At 32.6% G+C, this 23,569-nt stretch overlaps 1 long non-coding RNA gene across 1 annotated transcript in view; it reads right to left on the bottom strand.

Moving 5' to 3' along the window:
- LINC00333 (long intergenic non-protein coding RNA 333) overlaps positions 1–23,569 on the bottom strand; it is a 466,167-nt gene that overhangs the window by 362,790 nt on the left and 79,808 nt on the right. The window contains exons 2-3 of the long non-coding RNA NR_046871.1: positions 5,379–5,439; positions 1,882–1,916 (exon numbers count right to left, since the gene is read on the bottom strand). This is a non-coding gene — a long non-coding RNA (long intergenic non-protein coding RNA 333). The remainder of the gene's footprint in view (positions 1–1,881; positions 1,917–5,378; positions 5,440–23,569) is intronic.

Here is a 23,569-nt window from a genome sequence, read left to right as displayed (position 1 = left end):
CATATTTCCATATATATATATGTTTCTACGTTTTAAATATCTTCTCTTTTTCTCCATATTTCAATCACCTAGCCTGTGCCTTAAAGGTTTACTTTTAACACTGCAGCACTAAGATTTTCAGTACTAAGATGGTGGCTGTTTGTGTGCAGACAAACCACCATCCGATTTTGGATGCTCTCTTCTTACCAACAAATGTTACGTGCAGAGTAAATCATATTTGTTGATTGAAGTAATTAGTTTTCCTGCCATTTGAAAATCAACAGGAAATAGGTAAATTGGTCTTTTCATGGATACTATGTAAGGATAATGCAAAAATTAATTTAAGTCATCTAAGCCAGTCTTAGAATATTTAAACAACCTTGGATAGTATGTACTGCAACAATTTGGTTTACAGATGAGAATAAGACCCAGGTCTGCTAAGTCAAATTACACAGATGACACAAGTAGAAACTTGTGGTCTCTGTTACTGTTCTCCTTGACTACACCATACCGTCCAAACAAAACAGTATTTTAATTTCTTTAACAACATATTCATCTATATATCTTATTTAAAGACACAGGAAAATATACCCATATATAAAAACACATGATTCAAACAAACCAGTCCATAACCATGGATTCAAACAAGTGTAGGAGGTGGGCCTCTGTCTCTCTCATACTGAATATATGACCATTTATGTCTGGCTTGAAGGTACTATGAAACAGGTATCTAGCTTGTTGCCCATCTAAATAATTGGAAGAATGAAATAATATACCTTAAATCAGGGATATGAAAATTATCGACATATCAAATCCACCCTGCTACCCATATTACACACACACACACGCAAAAAATATATATTTTTATATATGTATATATGTATAAAAATATATGTAGTAGAATAGCTTTATATTTGCAGAGAAAATACAAGGACTCTACAGCCAGTTCCCATATTATCTACATCTACTCTCACTATTATTAACATCTTACATTAGTATGATAAATTTGTCACAACCCATTAAACAATATAAAGACATTATTAAGAAATGATTGTACTTTATTCAGATTTTCTTAGTTCTTATCCAATTCCTTTCTGCTTCAGAATTTCACTCAATCATGACATTGGATTTAGTGGTCATGTCTCCTTAGGCTCTACGTCACCGTGACATTTTCTCTGAATTTCTTTGTTTTTAGTAACTATGACAGTTTTGAGGAATACCAGCAAGAAATTTTGCACCTCAATTGCAATTTGTTCAATGTTTTTCTCATTATTAGACTGGTGTCATCAGTTTTTGGAAGAAAGACCACAAAATAAATTGCCATGTTCATCATATCAAGTGTTTTTATGTTGATGTGAACCTAGATCTACTTACTTGAGTTAATGTTTGTTAGGTTTCTCCACTGTAAAGTTACTCTTCTCCTACCACTCTCACTTTTCATATTGTACTCTTTGGAAGGAGGTCACTATGCTCAGCTTACACTTAAGGAGTGTGGAGTTATATTCTACCTCCTTAAAGGCGAGATACCCAGATACATTATTTAGAAATTTTCTGCATAGGAGATTTGTCTATTCTGCAGCATTTATAACTATAAACTCGTGGATATTTATTTTATATTTTGGATTATAATCCAATACTAGCCTATTTATCTTATTTTTCAAATTATTTCAGCTTTAGCCATTGGGAGCACTTTCAGTTGGCCCCCAGGACCATTTGGCATAATCGCTTATTTTTGTTGTTGTTTTGTTTTTGAGCAATTTTTTACTTTCTGAATGACAAAATGTTCCAGGCTTATCTTGTATACTTACTGCACCAGTCCTACAATGATTCTCTAAAAAGAACTTCTTCCTATTTTTGGAGAATGACATTAGAAACCAAAATCTGAGTATTATAGGTACTTACTGTTTCTGGGGCTCATTGCGTCTAAGTCTTCTTAGCTGATAAGCAAGGAAATATACATGTATATTAACCTGATTATATTCACAAATATGGAAATATATTTATATTTATAAGTAATCATATTTATAAAGATGATATGACATAATATTTGTGTCTATAACTTGAATCAGTTACCACATGGAACATTCCAGCCTCTTTCCTTTTGTTACCTACAACCTCTCACTCCCAAAATTGAAAACCTGGCTCCACTCTTCAACTATTCATTTACTCAGTGTTCAGTTCCCATACACATATATAAAGGCATTAGTGTTGTTAACCTGTATCCCCATTGGAAATAAATATGTCAACTACGGTACAATGTTTATGCATAGTTTTTTTCTGTCCTTATGGACATCAATGATTTCAAAAGTAACTTAGGTCAGCACCTTTTTCTCTCTTTTTAGAGAGGCTATTTTGTATAATTATAGTTAAATTATTTAGTCACATTTTGCATTGCATTCAGTTATCTCTTGACCTCCCAAATTATTTTTTAATTGCATATTGTATGAGATCATTCCTGCATTGCTATAAAGAAATATCTGAGAGTGGGTAATTGATAAAGAAAAGAAGTTTATTTGGCTCACAGTTCCACCAGCTTTATAGGAAGCATGGTGCTGGCATCTGCTAGTCTTCCAGGGAGGCCTCAGGAAGCTTACAATCATAGTAGAAGGTGAAGGGGGAGCAGGCATGTCACATGGTGAAAGTAGGAGCAAGTGGGATAGAATGAGGAAGGAGGTGCCATACACTCTTAAATGATCAGATCTCACAAGAACTAACTATCAAAAAGATAGCATCAATTAATAAGGGATCTTCCCTTATGATTTAAACACCTCCCACCAGTGCCCACTTCCAGCATTGGAGGTTACAATTAAACATGAGATTTGCATGGGGACAAATATCAAAACTATATCACATATATTAGGGCGTACTCCTTGTGCTGTTAAGTTCTATGAGTTTCACAAACTGCATAGTGTCATGTATCCACAAGTACACAGTATAATACAGAATAGTTTTGATATGTGCTAAAAAATCTTTGATGATACAGCTATTCAATTCCCTCCTTCCTTTCTTTTTTACTATAGTTTTACCTTCTGCAGAATGGCATATAATTGGGAATATCCAGCCTGTAGCTGTTTTCATAATGGTTTCTTTCACTTAGTAATATGAATTCACAGTTTGTCTATGTTTTTTGATGGCTTGATACCTCACTTCTTTTTAATGATGAATAATATTCCACTATGTGGCTGTATTACAAATTGTTTATCCATTCATCTATTAATAAGATCTTGGTTGCCCTCAATTTTCGGCAATCGTGAATGAAGTTTCTGTAAACATTCACATGCAGATGAAAGTAAGTTTTCAAATCAATTCAGCATATATGTTAAAACATGATTACTGCACCATATAGTAAAAGTACATTTAGTTTTGTAAGAATCTGACAAACTGTCTTCCAAAGTGGCTGCACCATTTGAAATGAGTGAGTTTTCATAACCAAAATTTGGTATTGCTTTTTTTTATTTTCATTTTTGCTATTCTAATAGTTGTGCAGTTTTACCTTATTGCCATTTTTGTCTGTTTTTTGAAATAAGGTTTTTTTGGAACACAGTCACACCATACTATTGTCTGTTACTGCTTTCACGCTACAATGGCAGAATTGAGTGGTTGTGATAGAGTTGCATATGACCCACAAAGACTAAAATATTTACCATCTGACCCTTTAAATAAAAAGTTTGCCAAATATCACATAAACTAAAGGAGACAATGCACTGAAATTTAATTAGTAAACTGCTAAAATTATTACTTTTATTTTAATTACACATTCCAATAATTTCCAATTAAAATTATATAATTACAAATTTTAAGTAAAATTATAAACAGCTATAATGAATTCCTGCAAACTTTCACAGAGAAAATTTTGCAGATGAAATAAAACCTTGCCTTTTTGCCTTTATATACATATATATACACTTATATATATACACTTATATATACACTTATATATATATACACTTATATATACACTTACATATATACTTATATATATACACTTACATATATACTTATATATACACTTACATATATACTTATATATACACTTACATATATACTTATATATATATATATATACACTTACATATATACTTATATATATACACTTATATATACTTATATATATACACTTATATATATACTTATATATATACACTTATATATATACTTATATATATACACTTATATATATACTTATATATATACACTTATATATATACTTATATATATACACTTATATATATAAGTATATATATACACTTACATATATACTTATATATATACACTTACATATATACTTATATATATACACTTATATATATACTTATATATATACACTTATATATACTTATATATATACACTTATATATACACATATATACTTATATATATACACTTACATATATACTTATATATATACACATATATGTATACTTGAAAAATAGAAAAGTAAGTTAATGTAAAGATTAGAGAGAAATGTAGTTAAAAATAGATAATGGAGGAACTAATATATGTTACTTGTACTGATAGCATGTGACAATAATTTTGTATAATAACTCCTTTTATTTTTACAAGTAATTCCAATGATAGTATTATGCTATACTGATATGGGCAAAATTAAGAGTTACAAATTTGTCCAAGTGCATAGAACTAATAAATGGGTTTAAACCCATTTAACAACAAAATTTTGTCTTCATATTTTCAGCGCTGTTCATTTCAAAAATATCACAATATGAAAAAAAATCTTATCATCTAAGACCATCTTATTCAATAATTAGCTGAGTCATCTCCTGACAGGTGTTAATAATAATAGCAGCCTATCAAAGGGACTGGACATCCTATTAAAATTTTTAATGAGTCTAGGGAATGTTACACTTCTGTAGACTTTATCAAAGTCTGTAGAATTTATCAACACTGTAACATGAAAGTTTTGATTTGTGATCCTATAGGAACCCTATATCTGATGCATTTTCTATCAAAATATTGCCAAACTAGATGAAGTAAAATGAATCAAAATGCTATCATCATAAGCAGAGAATAGAATGATTACTTTTTACAAAAATGATGTGCTCATATACAAATTTAAGTAACGTATATTGGCCAAAGAGTTCTAGAGCATACATAAAAAGGCCCCTTTCTAGTACCTGAGAACTGTGAGATTTAAATTTAGCAAAGACTGAAGAAAGTCTGGATTTAAAAATCATCATGAAAACAGCTCTTAAATTTTCATATAATAACTATGTCCACCAATGTTCGTCAAGATTTAAAGAACTGCAAATATTTAAGTGCTTATATTTTCACACTTGTCATTTAAGATGCATATTAAAATTGGGTATAATAAGTCAGAAATATGGACAGTAGAAATCTTTTCTTACAGAAGATAAGCTTAACTCAGCCTGCCACCAACATACCATCTGTTCTGCATCTCTTCTTAGATCAAGACACAATAGACTGAAGCATATGGACTGTAGGCTGTGAACAAGAAAGAATTTTTAGCATGTTAGCATTCTTTTTTGGATTTCTGTTTTGTTTTGCTTTAGATTGTTGTGTTTTGTTTTGTTTTTCAACATTCTATGTTTTTATTCTTCAGGGGTAATTTAAATAGCATCCTGATTGAAGGGTAAATGGAACTGCATGCCTTTTAAAAGATATTTTGTTTTCCTAATGTGATATTACATGACAAACAATGGAAAGGCTAAAAATTTCAATAACAATTTTTCCTTTCCCCAAGGCTTCAGAGTTAAGTTTAATATGTCAACAACCACTGCTACTGGAAGAGAAATTTGTCTTTATTTTATTGTATTCCTTTAACTATTCCCCTTGCCACCTGATAGTTCATAGATCTAAGTGCATTAATGATCCCTCATCTGCATGCAATATATGCAATATATTTTATTGCATGCAATAAAATAGTAACAATGAAGATAATATCTAACATTCTGTATTTACTATGAAGTAATAATGAAGATAATATCTAACATGTTATTAGCATGTTACATATTGCTCTACATCTCTTACATTATTAATTTTAGTAAGAATAGCTATGTTAAGCATTCATATTTTGAGACCCATTTTATAAATGATGAAAGTGAAGAACAAAATTCAATAACTCTTAGGGCATGATAACTGAAAGATACCCTAAAGTACTGCAAGAAAATATATGAATCTCACATCAACACAGTGTAAGATAAAAATGAAACTTTAGGCCAATTTGAATAATGAAAATTTGAACCTCAATATCAAGTGATGCATAAGGTATTAAATATTATTATCATTTTTTAAATTGTATTCCAATTTGAAAGCACGAATGCCATTATGCTTGACTGGATTTTTAAATATTGCACCTTCTTTTTATCCCTGATTGAGAGAGGCATGTGTATCTAAATGAAGCAACTTACCTTATAGATCTCTATAAAAAGAAAGACCAAGCTGATAGTCATCACTGCACTGTTTTCATCTGTCCAGTCAAACAAATCAGCATTTAGATTACTGAATTGTTCCTTTCTCATCACTTTTTACCACCATCAGACACAAATAACTGCTTCTGAAGTGTTCTTGTCAGTGTTCCCTATCATTTCGGATGTAAATCTAGCCATGACACTTCCTTGTTACTAGTTTTCACGCCTGCTTATCTGAACAGCTTTCACAAAGCTGGTTCTAGCTATCAGTCAAATAAGACAAGGGAAAGACAAATTTCTGGCGAGCCAGGACAGAAGAAGAGAGAGAGTGAAAACAGTGACAAAGACATGCACCATTCAAATTCAAAGGATGTGGACAGCTCTCTTGTTTGGAACATCAATTTCTGTCTGTCAGATTTTAAACAGAGTTGCTGGCTAAAACATCTAGATACAGGAAGACAGCTATAGGACAAAACAGAAAATAGTGCTAAAGTCTGTGAAAATTTATATCAACATAAAGAATTTGAAAACCAAAAAATGCTTTAAAAGCCTCTAGATACTGAAAGAATGTACATAGAGTTCAACTTTTTCACTTTTTTAAATTGTGCTACTAGGAAAAAATTGCTTAATATCTGTTCCTTGGTTTCAGCCTCTGAAATATGAGAATGGTAATCATATATGCCACATAAAATTTGCCGTGTAGACTTAATTAGTCAGTGCAAGCAGAATACTTAAAATGGTCTTATGTATAGTAAGGGGTCAATCAATGCCACTTTCATTAGAAACTGTTTTAGTAGAAATTGGGTCTTGCTATGTTATTTAGTTACTCCTGGCCTCAAACCATCCCCCCTCCTCAGTCTCCCAAAGTAATGGATTACAGGCATGAGCCACTGCACCTGGCTAAAAACATTATTATTAAGTTTAATGTAATACTATTTTCAAAAGTAATGATATTGAGTCATAAAAAGTGATAAAAAGTCAATAGTGTTGGAAAAAAGTCTGGTGTTTAAATTCAAAAGTTTTAATCTTTATAAAATTTTTAAAATTTATTATAAATTTTACTTAGATTTTGCATTAGCATGAATTAAGTATTTCATTTAGGCCAGAATTTGAATGAATTACAACTGAAATTTTTAAATTGAATTTTGAGTGAAAAATTGTAGTGATATTACCACCAATTCAGTTGATTAAAAGACTTAACAAAAAAAAAAAGATTATTCAAAAAATTACTTATGTTTTAGGAACAGAAAAAGTTTTACTCTTAAAGGATTTAAATGTGAAACCTCTCTGTTGGTATGATTTAAAATAACTAAAGACAATTTGGGTATCCAAAATACCTCTTCTTGCATCTACAATAGTTTTTTAATATTCTTGCATATTCTGTTTATTTTAGTTTTTACAATAAAAGCCTACATTAACATAATTTCAAATAATTAATAAGTGATTAACAGATATTAGTATGCTAGATATTAGTATGCTAATTAAATGTTATTTAAGGTAAAGGGTAAGAGTTTCTTTGCAAAGTATTACATGAGTAGAACTGAGATTTTTAAAGGTCTTTTTCTAATTATTAAAACACACGAAATGTTAATAAAATTTAAAAATTAAATTAAAGTAGAAAAAGAAAAGTAAATCCAGATTATTTTCAGATTTCAGAACAAATGCTAATATCCTTAGTATCCAGTTTGACATTACACCTAGTGAATATTAACCTTCAAATAAATATCAATTTTATCGACAACAATGTACCATTTTGAAAAATTATTTTATATCTAAGATATAGACAGAGAATACTAAATTCTGTGAGACTAAGGAGAAACCAGCAAGTTCATGCTCACCTGATGAGAGAGGATATTGAAATAGACCTTCTGTAAATTGATTTGGCAAAAATTATTACAAATCTTAGCAATAATGTTGAACTAGATATTCTTCACTTATTAACACATGCTAAAAATAATTATACACATGAAAAAAGATATATGCCAAGTAAAATATAGTGGAATGTGATGTACAGTAACAAAGTTCAATTTTTTTTTCATTTAAATTTTAATTTTAGATTCAGAGGGTACGTGTGTGTTTGCTGGAAGAGTATGTTGTGTGACGCTGAGGTCTGGCATACGATGGAACCTATCATCCAGTTATTGAGCATAGTACCCAATAGTTAGTTTTACAACCCTTGCTCTCCCTCCTTCTTCCCCACTTCATAGTTCCCAATATTTATTGTTCATATCTTTATGTCCATGTGTACCCATTTTTGTTTTTATTTTATAATTTCAACTTTTATTATAGATTAAAGGGTATATGTGAAGGTTTGTTACATGGGTATATTGAGTGCATTGAGTTTGGGGGTACAAATAACCTCATCACTCAGGTAGTGAGTGTAATACCCAATAAGTGGTTTTTCAGCCTATGCCCCTCTCCTTCTCTCCTGCATCTAGTTCCCAGTGTCCCGCTTTACCCACTTTATTTTTATGTGTACTCAATCATTAGCTCCATTTATAATTGATAACATGCAGTCTTTGGTTTTCTGTACTTGTGTTAATCTGCTTAGGGCAATGACCTCCAGTTCCATCCATGTTGCTGTAAAGAACATAATTTTGTTCTTTCTATGGCTGTGTAGTATTCCATGGTGTAGATGTACTACATTTTCTGTATCCAATCCACCATTGATGGGCACTTAATGTTGATTCCATGTCTTTGCTATGGTGAATAATGCTTTGATGAACATGTAAGTGCATGTTTCTTTTGGTAGAATGATTTATATTACTACAGGTATATACCCTCTAACGAGATTACTGTTAGTTCTATGTTTACTTATTTGAGAAATCTCCAAACTGCTTTCTAAAGGAGCTGAAGTATTTTGCATTCCAACAAAATGTGTATAAGTGTTCCCTATTCCCTGCAGCCTGGCCAGCACCTGCTATTTTTGACTTTTTATTAATAGTCATTCTGACTGGTGTGAGATTGTATCAGTGGTTTTGATTTATATCTTTCTGACATCAGGGATGTTGAGCAATTTTTATGTATTTGTTGGTCATTTCTATGTCTTCTTAAAGAAATGTCTATTCATAGCCTTTGCCCATTTTTAATAGGGTTATTTGTGTGTTTATTTTTGGTGTTTATTTGTTTAGTTCCTTGTAGATTCTGGGTATTACACCTTTACCAGATGCATAGTTTATGACTATTTTCTCCTATTCTGTAGGTTGTCTGTTTACCCTGTCAGTAATTGCTCTTGCTGTGCAGAAGCTCTTTAGTTTTATTAGGTCCCACTTGTCAACTTTTGTTTCTGTTACAATTACTTTTGGGGACTTATTCACAAATTATTTGCCAAAGCAAATATCAAGAAGCTTTTCTTCTAGGATTTTTATAGTTTGAGGTCTTATATTTAAGTATTTAATCCCTATTGCATTGATTTTTATATGTGGTGAGAGGTAGGGGTCCAGTTCTTTTGATATAGCTAGCCAGCTATCCCTGCATCATTTATTGAATAGGATGTTCTTTCCTCATTGCAAAATCCTGTCAATTTTGTAAAAGATCAGACGGTTGTAGGTGTGTACGTTTATTTCTGGGCTCTCTATTCTATTTCATTGGTCAGTATGTCTATTTTTTTATAGTTCCCACTTATAAGTGAGACTATACAGTATTTGGTTTTCTGTTTCTATATTAATTCTCTTAGTACAACGTCATCTAACTGCATCCATGTTGCTGCAAATAAAATTATTTCATTCTTTTTATAGCTGTGTAGTATTCCATGTTGTATATGTACCACAATTTCTTTATCTGATCTACTGTTGATAGGTACCTAGGTTGATTCTGCCTTTTTGCTACTGAGAATAGCGCTAAGTAAGATGGATGTATTAGTGCATGTGTCTTTTCAATAGAATGATTTATTCTCCGTTGGGTATATACCAAGTAATTGAACTGGTGAGTCAAATAGTGGTACTATTTTTAGTTCCTTGAGAAATCTCCAAACTGGTTTCTACAGTGGCTGAACTATTTTGAATTCCCACCAATAGTGTATAAGTGTTCCTCTTTCTCTGCAGCCTCACCTACTGTTGTTTTTACTTTTAATAATAGCCATTCTGGTTGGTGTGAGAAGATATCTCATCATTATGTTTTAAAACTGAAAAGAGTCTTTGAAAATATATTAGTTTTGTTGAATATTAGGAAACTCAGAAAGTAATAAAAGAGAAAATACAAGCTGCCAAAACTTTTGTTTGTAGAGACAAATATTTTGATGCATTTTCAATTCTTTTATTTTCTATTACTAACACATTTGGGGAGGAAGTGGTCTGGCTCAATTGTTGTGATTTCCAACTTCAGGGCCTGATATGGCTAAGTTTTGCCATTTAATAGCTCTGTCATTCATGTTGTGGAATTAGTTTAATCCCTGAAATACTAATCAAAACTAAATTCTGTTAGTACCCATATCAAAGGACTCATTGAGGATTAAATCTGATAACTCAAAGAAAGGCTTAGAACACATCTGATTTATGATCCTTTGCCAGACATTGGTGTAATAGCTTTAACATTCAAACATGTTTTTCCCTTTTGCCTTTCAAAGAGGAGAAGCATTATCTAATCAAAATATGACTTTCTTCTACCTGAAGGAGTGTTAGGATTTATTTATTCAGAATGTAGAAGCAAAAGAGAGAGTTTATATCAGGCTTTTGACATCCAAAATAGGACATGGCATGGAGTTCATAAAAGGCAAAGCTTTGCCAAGAGGTAAGATTTATTCGATACCTTTTTTTCCTCTTTTATGACATCAAAAATTAGTCCTTAATTCTTACTCGTAGAATTTTATGTAAATGAATATATAATATATTATGTTAATAAAAGATAATTTTTGACCCTTCCTATACGGATTGTGGAAGAGAAGCATGTTGAAGGCAAATAACATAGCCTCTACTTTCAGTGTAAAATGCTGGGAAGATGTGACTTGCCACATGCCTGCTGAAATCCTAGGGATAAAAGTACAATGTGCTTCAGGGTCACCGCTCATCTCCAAGAACCACTAGGAATAAACCACTGCCCAGAAATAAAGAATGAGGTTCTGGAAAGCATTGCATGACCCAGACACCCTGTTCCCTCCATTCCCACATGTGATAAAAGACATACAGTGGGCTGGGCACTGTGGGTCATGCCTGTAATCCCAGCACTTTGGGAGGCCGAGGAGAGCTGATCACTTGAGGTCAGGAGTTCGAGATCAGCTTGACCAAAATGACGAAATCCCGTCTCTACTAAACTTACAAAAATTAGCTAGGTGTGGTGGCACACACCTGTAATCTCAGCTACTTGGGAGGCTGAGGCACCACAATCACTTAAACCAGGGAGGCAGAAGTTGTCGTGAGCCGAGATTGGGTCACAGTCACCACACTCCAGCCTGGGTGACAGAGGGCGACTATACTTCAAAAAAAAAAAAAAAAAAAAAAAAAAAAGACATAATGATGTCTTCCTTTACTCCTATATCCATACTCCATCATAATGAAGACCAGTAGATAGAATGGAATCTGAAGGAATGAGCATGTTATTTACAGACTATTCAAATTTCGGGAGAGTAGAAAATACGTTTATCTGTTCAATTACCCAGAGGGTAAGACTTACACGAGGAGGATGAGAAGGAATTTAGGATATTCAGAATGAACCTGAGTATATTATGATTAATTTGCAATCCTGCCACAGGAGTTACTACTAATTATTATTATAGTTAATATTTGTGTCTGTAGTATTTTTCCTTTTTGTTTGATTCTATGTCTAAATCTTAATTCTCCCCTCGATTTAGGACTTTTTGTTAGGTGTCTCAATGATATGAATAAATATAATCAGTTTATCCAATATTTAAATACTGAACTTTTAGATTATTTTCATTATGTTTTTCTGTTAAAAATAAAACTTCAGCTGATATTTTGCAGTTTATTTATGGATGAGATTATTTTCTTAGTGGACAGCCTAAAAATAACTTGGTTTAGAACCTATTAATATTTTTTAAACCTTTGAAGCACATTAGCAAGTTATTTTTTTCAGAATGTTTCAAATGACATTCTAATCATACTGTTGCAAGCAACAATTAAGTTTGATAAAAAGGAAGGTCATCAGAAATATCCGTAACTGATAACGAAGCCCTATTAAACAAATAATTATAAAAATTTCCATATTAAAGTTTCTCAAACATTTAAAACATTATAATATGGATATTAGGAATTACAGAGATGAAAGTGGGTAAACAGTTACTATAAGAAATTTCCCATGTAATTTCACAAGCTTTTTTATGTCTGGGACTCTGTTATATTAGTATTAACCACAAATCCAAGACTGAATTTGTCTGTCACCTTGTATTATATGCATTCCTTTTCATTCTTTTGCATCTAGATCCTCCTGTGAAAAAATCTCAGTATTAGAGTATAAATGATCATGTGTTTTAAAATCAAAATTATGAATTCAGAGAAAAGTACGCAAATACAAATGAATATACATTTTTCACATCTTTAGAAAGGACAACTCTACATGGATTTTACATCCTCCAAAATCTAGTCCCACATTTTTTTCTAGTCTCACTTTTTTGCTTTTATTATTGACAAATAATAATTATATATATTTATAGGATACAATGTGATGTTTTGACATATGTATACATTGAGTAGTGATTATATCAAGCTGGTCAACATATCTCTCACCTCACCACTTATTCTCTTGTAGAGAGAACGTTTAAAAATCTAATCTTTCAGCAATTTTGAAACATATAATACATTATTATTAACTCTTGACACCATGCTATGCAATAGATCTTGAGCTCTTAGAACTGCTTAACTCACACTCTACTTCAGCCCAGAGTGATCTGTACTCAGTCATTCTCATTCATTTGTTATGCAAACTGAGTCCCCTGCTAGGTTCAGACACAGAGGACCACTTAAATTCTATAGTTTTCATAAAATATTCTGTTAATACAGTTAAAAACTATTTTATCTTAAATGAATTTACCAGTAAAATTTAATATTTTTAAAATTATTTTTTAAAATCTCAAGAGAAATGCAAAATTATTAAACATTGAGTCCCTACTTGTTTGTTTTCCTCTGTCTCTTTCTCTTTCATTCTTTTCATCCGTTTGCATATATGATTTTGACATTGTTCAGAATGTATCAATTTGAACAGTACCAGTTAAGATAATGTCTTTTGTGTGACATACAGCCCTCCTATTGCTGTTTAAGAAGTGCAAATTACTACACACAGGAGATTAAGTTTTCAGGAGCATGACTGAATTTATTTTGATTGTCTTATACATCTTAATATATTTTCCCTCTGCAATTTGTGTGTGTGTGTGTGTGTGTGTGTGTGTGTGTGTTTAAAGCTTCATAGCCAGTTAAAATAATTATTAATCTCATGGTTTTGTTTTATTCAAGCTATTTGTTTTATGATAGAGTAAAATACCTATTGGCTTGTCAAAGTACAAAAGGAGATGTTTTGCCTAGGGCATTGTGTTTTCTAGTAGAAATAATATACCAAAAATGTAGATGCTTTATTTCTGAGTTGGTGATGAGCAGCAGAATATGAGATAATGCTTTTTAGTTTTAGTGAAGAGTGAATTTTATTTACTGAATCTGACGTTAAACCAAAATGGTATGTTTAATATGGTCATTCTTTTGCAAAATTGTAATAACTCTGGAGCCAGTTATAATTGTTACACTGTTTGTTTGACATAAAAATAAAACTTAAAGTAAAAAAGGAACAAAGACTACAAATCAAAGTAAAAATAGCTTAAAATGTTCCTGTGAATATAATCTGACATTCCTCATAGTGAAACCATTTCCCTCATTGTTTAATAACATGAATTCTTTCTATTGGACTTTCAGTACCTTTTTCCATTCTGTGGTAGGAAAGGATTTTGACATCAAAGATCAGACCTCTTCATAAACATTTATGTGAATCAAACAAGGAAAAGAGAGGTTATTACAAAGACAAAAGATGATCTCAGAGAGCTCAAGGGTTTTGAATGGCCAGGCGATGCCTAAGGAGAAAAAGTGAAGAGTAAAAATGAATTTATTAAGATTGCGGTCAGGGTACGATACCTGCAAGATAATCAGAGTTTTATGCTGTCAGACTCCTCAATCCCTCATATCATCTTCTGTATAGTATTCTCCAAAAAGAGAGTCTCCTTTAAAGTCCCATGACTAATTTTTGCTAAATTTAAGAAGAAGAGGGAGTGAAATAGGGGGAAAATGTGCTTCCATACATGATAAATCCAAATCGTTATCAATAAACATTTAAGCATAGCTATGTGCAAGACATTGTTCCGTAGTTACCCATATTAAAATGATAAGTGAGACATGATTCTTGTCTTCAAAGAACTGATAAAGTTATAAATGGTATTGCAATGTAATGTTAAGTCAGCTAAAATGGCTACAGGAGAAAGAAGAATTACAACTCTGAGGATAGGAATCCCTTGTATATTAAATGACTTTTGAGATAGTATTTAAAGGAAGGGAAGGTAACCAAAAGATCTAGAGATAGGTGAGTTGGCGTAACAGTTGGGGAAAGATAAATCGAGCACTAGTGTGGAGTAATGAAAGCTGTATAATCATACACTGGTAATTCCGTGTGGCTGAATGGAATGCTTATATTATTACTAGGTTTGTGTGACATGAAATTCTAAGATGTTGTATATAGTGAGAGGCAGGACATTGTTACTAATTGAGCCTTATTGTTTCTCCTCTGGTTTTCTAATTTTCCAATTTGAGGGTTCAGATCTATCGTAAAGATTAATATCTTACCCTCTAAATTGGGTAGCTGGATATTCCCAGCACATTAAACAAACCACACTTTTCACAAAGGTTCAAAACATGTTGGAGCAAGAATATTTTAAATGTGAGCCTAGAGTGTAATTTGTTGATACTTGAATATTAATTTCACTCATACATAAATGGAGATGTCTCAAATCAATTTGTAATCTTGTAAGATTTTAATTTTTAAATTTTGTTTGGTATTGCAAAACACTTGAGATTCAGAATTTACCAGGCTTTCTAATCATTGCGAGAAGCACACACTCACAGTGGAAAGAAGAAAAAAGACAAATCAGAAATCTTTATCACATTTTGTATTTTTAAGGAGCTACAAAAATAACACGTAATAGCAGAATTTTTAACTTAAGTAACAAATACTGACTTCCCTTAAGTAATAAATATTGACTCCTTATAGTTGTAACATAAGTGCAAAATTATGGGAATTAATATATTATTTAATAATATTCTTACTAAAAGCCACTGGAAGTTCATCTCCCAACACTTAGATGTATTAATTATATTTTACTGAGTTCTAAGAAAAGTCTTTCCATTCAGAAAGATCTTAAATCCAATCTCTCTGAGCTTCATATTATTGCATTTAAATAGAAGTAAAAATGTTTACCACATGTCCCATGGTAAAACTTACAACAAAATAGCACTTTTCGGGCACATAAGAAGAACTCTACAAATGGGTAAAATTGTTAAGGTATAAAGCTTTACGGCAAATCCTATTATTTGATGCTTAACTAACTTGTTTAACAAGAGATAGAGAAAATCAACATTTCTTATGCACCAGTCTAGATTAACCTTCATTCGTTCATCAGGATCAATCAGCCCGCTGGACAAGACTCACTGTTCCACTTTTGTTAACTTTCATTTCTTGGTCCTACAGAACATATAAGGATGTGTAATAAGAGTCTGTCTTACTCTTAAGTTTAATAATAAATATATCTTTCTCTGCAGGACCTTTACTTCCAAAGAATTGGTCATAAATACTTATGTGTGTGGAGTTCACCAAACAAGGTGGGAACATTCATAGACCCAAGTCTTTATTTACTCGTCTTTCAGGCTAAAATACCACCATCACCACCTCATTCTCCATCTCACAAAATTCTTCCAGCCCCTGAATAAATGTTACTTTCTTCAAAAATGTTTCTTGTGCACTTAAACCTAAATTACTCACATCTCAAATGGGTCAAAATCTTATAATAACAGCAGTGTACCAGAGTGCCAAATAAAGTGGAAATGAAGTATTTTTCTTTGGTAATAAGAGAAGCATTAATTCAAAAGTTTATAGGCATGTGTCTAAAATACTGATTCTTAACCCGGGGCAATTTTGACTTCTAGGGGACAGTTGGCAATGTCTAAAGACATGTTGATTGTCACCTTGATTGGGGAAGAGGGTGCTACTGATATCTAGAGGGTGAAGGCCAGAGATATTGTTAAATATCCAATTCACAGTACAGTCTCCCACAACAAACTCTTATCTTGTCCAAATATCAATAATGCCAAGGCTGAAAAACTCTGCTCTGGATCAGGGTTCCACTCTTTTCCCTTTCTCACTACTAAAGACTGGGCCTAAAAGTGGTCTATTGGAACAACTATAGCTCTCTATCATCACAACTGATCCCAGGACATCAAAAGAATGTGCAAGACCCCTGTTCTCACAGTCAGAGTGAAGCAGCCCGCAGCAGAGAATAGGTTCTGTTGCTGAACTGAGGAGTGTTTTCTACTGTCCTTTTCTGAGGCTGTTGAAGTCGGGAAGCTTACAGGGACTTAGGTATATTATGGGATAGAATATTATGATTTATGCCCAAGTCCCTGAGATTAAAGACCACAGCAATATATAGCTGCAATTCTAAAACTTAAAAAACAGTATTTGGTTTCATTTTGGTGACTAAGTAATGAAGCAGGACATCCATAATCAATGGATTACAAGAATAACCACTTCTGAGTAGATACCATGTGTCAGAAATTTTACATACACCATTTAATCCTCACAAATCTCTGTGAGGCAGGCACTATTATCTGCATTTCACAATACTATGCTTATCTTCATAGTATACTTACTTTCCCCCATTTTTTATTCCTATATAAATTAGTAGGTAACTGTTTCTAGAAAAAAAATGTTATTTATGTTGAAACTCTTGTGCTTTACAGAGCGGTTTGCTAATAGTAATACTTGTAAACAGGATGGTGATGATGATGAGAACAAACCTTGCTCTGTGCTTTTCCATGTTCAAAGTGCATTGAATTCCCTTTGCAATATTATTTCTTATTTCAGGTGCCTCAACTCTGTAATATTAACTCTATTTAGCTTTCCCACAACCATATGGGATAAATATTTTCAGATCAGAATAATAACACACACACACACACACACACACACACACACACACACACACAACTTAAAAAAATTAGTAAGCTTTCTCAGTTTCTACATGGTGGGGTTTGGTAAGCAGCCTGAGTATGAAGCTTCTGATCTGAATCGCTCTGCAGTAGCTCAATCGCTTGTAGATTAAATGAACTGAATCTACACTTGTAGATTAAATGAACTGAATCTACACTTGTAGATTAAATGAGTCATATACTCTACCACTTGGAGAAATTTCAAACAAAAAATGTATGGAGCATGCAGTGTGATGCAGACATGCCTTGGACGCTGGCCAGAAAGGTCTCCCCTGTAAACCTTAACTTAATCCTTTAACCTCAATCCATATATGTTATCAGGCTAAGCAGACTAATTTGTAAACATAAAGTGACTCCATTTCTCAGGGATAGACACAGATTAACCAAGCTTAATGTACTAAACCAGGATAACAATACAATTAGTTTACTCTGATAAATAAAATTGCATAAAAAATCAAATGCACAATCTCTTCCTGGAGGTATAGAACAGAAATTGCCAAATTTCATATTTGAAGGATTCTTGGTGAGCATAAAATTAAATTAGGAAAGTTAATAATAGGAATTCAATATTTAATGTTGTCATATTAAATTAGCCTCAGAGATAGATCATCACAATAGGTTATGATCAAATCTCATGGCAGGACATCTACTCTGTGTGTAAGATAATTTGTAAGGCAATTTCATTCTAATACATTGAACATTAAAGTTACATTTTATCACTGAAGCCTCTCAAATTCTGCTTGCTTTCAGATTATTATTCTAGTTTGTTTTGGGGAAAAGTTTGGTCGACAATAAGGCTTTACCATAGCTGTTATTAGTGGTAGATATTTCTGTGTGACATTGATCATTTTGAGGTCTCTATTACAAATGTTATTTCTTTCATAAATAATAATTTACTTATCATTATTATTATCTATGTTTTAAGACTTAGACCATAGACATAGGTGTAACATTTCTGTAGAATAGGACAACAGAGTACTGGAATATGCTTATTATAGTAAGTTTTTAAGCTACGTTAATGATGAATAGATGGTATTTGAATTAATTTCTACAAAGCTTTTTGATTTCTACACAGCAATCCCATCTCAGTTTTCAAATATATAGTACATATATTTCAATGTAGTTTCATTACACTGTTATCTATACCATAAATAACACATTTTAATAAATATTATGTCCAGGAGAATGATGGTTATTTAAGATGATGATGTAATGACTTCATAAATTTCATACTAATGGTTTCTTACCATAACTCTATGACTCAGGTTACTGAGCCCATTCCACAGAGGAGGAAGCTGTGTTAATCTAAGTTTGATGTTATTCTTAAGATCAGTGAAGTAAATTAAGAGGGTGTGTCTGGACGTAAATTTAGGATTTATGATGGTAAAGCCTACATATTTTTCACATTTTGTGTTTCCTGTCTTAAAGGTACAAAAAAAACACTGCTGAGTAGTATGTCATATTGTTCTCTGAAATATTTTATCAAAACTCTTTTCATCTACAGTTCTTTATATATTCTTTATTCCACAAGAATTTAGCCTATCTTCTATTTTTGTAGCTTACATGTCTAAATAGATTAAATACTTCAATGATATTGAAATTTATATTACCACTTTTAAGAAACTGAAATCATGTTATGGACTACAGGAAAGAAAATTCCCAAATGTCATATTTATATAAAAATATGCCTACGTACATATACATGTTACATACCAGCACATCTAAATATGTGTTTTTAAGTACCAGATTTTCTTGCTAAATTCCACTCAGGGGTGGAATATATGCTTTCATACTTGGCTGAGATTAAGAATAAGAAAACTGGAAGACTTAGAAGTTGGTCCATTTGAAACCAGAGATAGAAGGCTTAAAAAAAATCTACCCAGTCTCTTAGAGAAGCAATAAGGATATTTATTATGTCCTACAGTTCTTGGTGGTGGGAGAAAAGGGCTCTGTGATAAATAGATAAATTTAAATTTAAAATATGCTTCACCGGAATTAAACAAAAGCATTTATTTTATACTTCACACACACAATAATAAACAAAAATAAAAATGTCATGCTCTCTTAGATACCCAAGAAGCAGACTCTGGGATTAAGTGTAGAAAAAGTCTATTGAGGAGTGCTTCTCAGGAGCACATGCAGAGGAGTGAGGAAAGAGAGATTTTGAACTGTGATGTTGTGACAATAAAGGCCTCCACTGATCAGGGTATCCGAGTCCAGGTGGCCCTTCAGAAATATCCTAAATAGCAGGTTGGGTTTTTTGTCTTCAATATTGTTCTCAATATTGACTTGAGAAGGGATTAGCCTTGGGACAGGCAGCTACTTATAGCATAGTGAAATATATGCCTGAATGTTGGAGAATTTCTGCAGCACATTATGGCATCTACCAGAGTCCATTTTTGTGCAGATCTGGTGCATATGTTTTATACAAAGGTAAAATCCATCTGAAAATTTGCAGAATCTTGATTGCTCTTTTCCTTAATCCCTCTAAAGTTATCATATCTGGCATGGTAGCTATAGTGGGTTACTATGTGTTTTGCAGAGTTAACAATAATATATACTATAGTCTTCTGAAATGTATCTGGTTTTTATGAGTGTCTGACAGATCCTTTCATAGATAATAAATTAATTCATGATATAATATGAATTTACATGTTTTTAGGTGTTTAAGGGCATTAATTTCTGCTTTAGGATGGGATTTTAAAAAATCATTACATTGTGAGCTGATAGTTTGGCAGATTCATATCCTTCTGCTTGACCTCTCTTATATGATAGTTGTTATCTACAGGCCAAGGAGCAACTGTGGGAGGTTTACCAATGACCCTGTATACCCACTCCAGGTATACATTTGGGAACTAGTGAAATGACCATTGAATGGGCCCATGGACCTAGCAGAATCAATGATACTTAGAATTAAGCTAAGATTCCATTTACCACCTGTTCCAATATGTTTTGACTCTAAGAGGGATGCCATCATGATTATTTGATTCTGCAGAGTTCAATGTCAACTTGGCCTCTGTTTTTCAATAGTTCTTGAAATGTCTGTGTATTCCTCTTTTTCTACAGCATTTTTAACCAAGTGAATGGTCAGTGGGAGGACTGGATGAATCATAACTACATACACTTGTATTACAGTTTCCTTCCTTCTGGACACTTGGCCTTTCCATCAGTCAGTGCTTTTCCAGATCTAAAAACTGGCTCAAGTTCAGAATTGAAGGAAGGATAATTATTTTTTATTACAGCAGCTGTCCTCTACCCCCAGATCATCCATAATTTATAATTTTGATTATATATATTGAGCAATAACTTCGTTGGCTGTCCCTATGACATTTTTATTATAATAACCATCTTCATATCTGTCTGCACATCTGTGCCCACTGGCTGCCATTTTGACCTTGTTGTTCTTATTGATGATATGGCACCACCTGGCCTCTACTACGTTGAGATCTTACCACCCCCTTTTGGTATCAGGAAGTCAGTATAGCAGTATCATCTCTTTTATTTTTTATTATTCTTATATTGTCTCTTATTAACATTTAATTTCTAGAGTTTTAGAAACATTTGTATAGGCTAGGTAAGAATTAAAATCAGATAAATGCCACTTATAATTGTGTTATCCACATATGCAGTTTTCACTCCTTACCCTTATTTTACTATTGAGCCTCTATTATTCTATAAACACTGATCTGAAAAAGGTCACCAGTGATCTCAGTGTTATAAATCTAATGGATTTAAAAATCTTCACATAATCAGACCTTGAAGCACTATTGATTATCTTTTTATTTTGTATTTTAGTTTTTTATTACAATAGGTTTTTGAGGAACAGGTTGTGTTTGGTTACATAAGCTTCTTAATGGTGATTTCTGAAATTTCGGTACACCCATCACCAGAACAGCATGCCCTGAACCTAATGTGTAGTTTTTCATCCCTTGCCACTGCCAACCCTGTCCCGAGTCCCCCAAATCCAATGTACCATTCTTATGCCTTTGCGCCCTCATAGCTTAGCCCGCATATGAGTGAGAACATATGATCCTTGGTTGTCCATTCCTGAGTTACTTCACTTAGCATAAGTCTCCAAATCCATATAGTTTGCTGCAAATGCTCTTATTTTGTTCCTTTTAAAGCCAAGCAGAATTCCATGGGGTGTGTGTGTGTGTGTGTGTGTGTGTGTGTATGTGTGTGTGTGTATACATATGTACATATATATAACATTTTCTTTATCTACTCATTGATTGATGGGCATTTGGGCTGGTTCCATATTTTTTCAATTGCAAGTTATGTTGTTATAAACATTCATGTGCAAGTATCTTTTTCTTAAAATGGTTTATTTTCCTCTGGGTAGTTATCTGATAGTGGGATTGCTTGATCAAATGGTAGATGTACTTTTAGTTATTTAAGGACTCTCCACACTGTTTTTTATAGTGGTTGTACTAGTTCACATTCCCAACAACAATGTAAAAGTGTTTCCTTTTCACCACATCCACGTCAACATCTATTATTTTTTCATTTTTTGATTATGGCCATTCTTGCAGGACTGAGGTGGTATTGCATTGTGATTTTGATTTGCATTTCCTTGATAATTAGTGAGGTGAAACATTTTTCCATATGCTTGTTGGCCTTTTGTATATCTCCTTTTGAGAAGTGTATATTCATGTCCTTAGCTCACTTTTTGATGGGATTGTTTGGTTTTTTCTTGCTGATTTGTTTGAGTTCTTTATAGATTGTAGATATTAGTCTTTTGTCAGATGTATAGATTACGAAAATTTTCTCCCACCCTGTGGGTTGTCTACTTACTCTGCTGATTATTTCTTTTGCTGTGCAGAGCTTTTCAGTTTAATTAAGTCTCATCTATTTATCTTTCTTTTTATTGCATTTGCTTTTGGTTGCTTGGTCATGAACTCTGCCTAAGCCAATGTCTAGAAGGAGTTTTCTAATGTTACCTTCTAGAATCTTTATTGTTTCACGTCTTAGATTTAAGTCTTTGATCCATCTTGAGTTGAATTTTGTATAAGGTGAAAAATGAAGATCCAGTTTCATTCTTCTACAGATGGCTTGTCAATTATCCCAGCATTATTTTTTGAATTGGGTGTCCTTTACACACTTTGTGTTTTTGTTTGCTTTGTCAAAGATCGCTTGGCTGTATTTGGCTTTATTTCTGGGTTCTCTATTCTGTTCCATTGTTTTATGTTCCTATTTTTATACCAGTATCATGCTGTTTTGGTGACTATAGACTTATACTATAGTTTGAAGTCAGGTAGTGTGATGCCTCTTTTGGCTTAGTCTTGTTTTGGCTATGCAAGCTTTTTTTTTTTTTTTGGTTCTATATGAATTTTAGGATTTTTTTCTGGTTCTGTGAAGAATGATGGTGGTATTTTGATGGGAATTGCATTGAATTTGTAAATCATTTTCAGCAGTATAGTCATTTTCACAATACTGATTCTACCCATCCATGAGCATGGGGTGTGTTTCCATTTGTTTGTGTTGTCTATAATTTCTCTCAGCAGTGTTTTGTAGTTTTCTTTGTAGAGGTCTTTCATGTCTTTGGTTAGGTATGTTCCTAAGTATTTTCTTTTCTTTGCATCTACTGTGAAAGGAGTTGAGTTCTCGATCTGATTATCACTTTGGTGATACAGCAGTGCTACTGCTACTTGGTGTACAGCAGTGCTACTGCTACTTGGTGTACAGCAGTGCTACTGATTTGTGTACATTAATTTCATATCCTGAAACTTTGCTGAATTTATCAGTTCTAGAAGCTTTATGTATGAATCATTAGGGTTTCCTAGGTATAAAATCATATCATCAGCAAACAGCAACAATTTTACTTCCTCTTCACTATTTTGGATGCCCTTTATTTCTTTTTCTTGTCTGATTGCTCTGGCTAGGACTTCCAGTACTATGTTGAATAGAAGTGGTGAAAGTGCACATCCTTGTCTTCTTCAAGTTCTCACAGGAAATGCTTTCAATTTTTCCTCATTCAGTATAATGTTGGTTGTGGGTTTGTCATAAATGGCTTTTATT

Source organism: Homo sapiens, chromosome 13, assembly GCF_000001405.40.
Source record: "Homo sapiens chromosome 13, GRCh38.p14 Primary Assembly".
NCBI classification, from domain to species: domain Eukaryota; kingdom Metazoa; phylum Chordata; class Mammalia; order Primates; family Hominidae; genus Homo; species Homo sapiens.
Note: the sequence above shows the minus strand (reverse complement) of the source record. Positions and strands in the feature narration are given on the sequence as shown.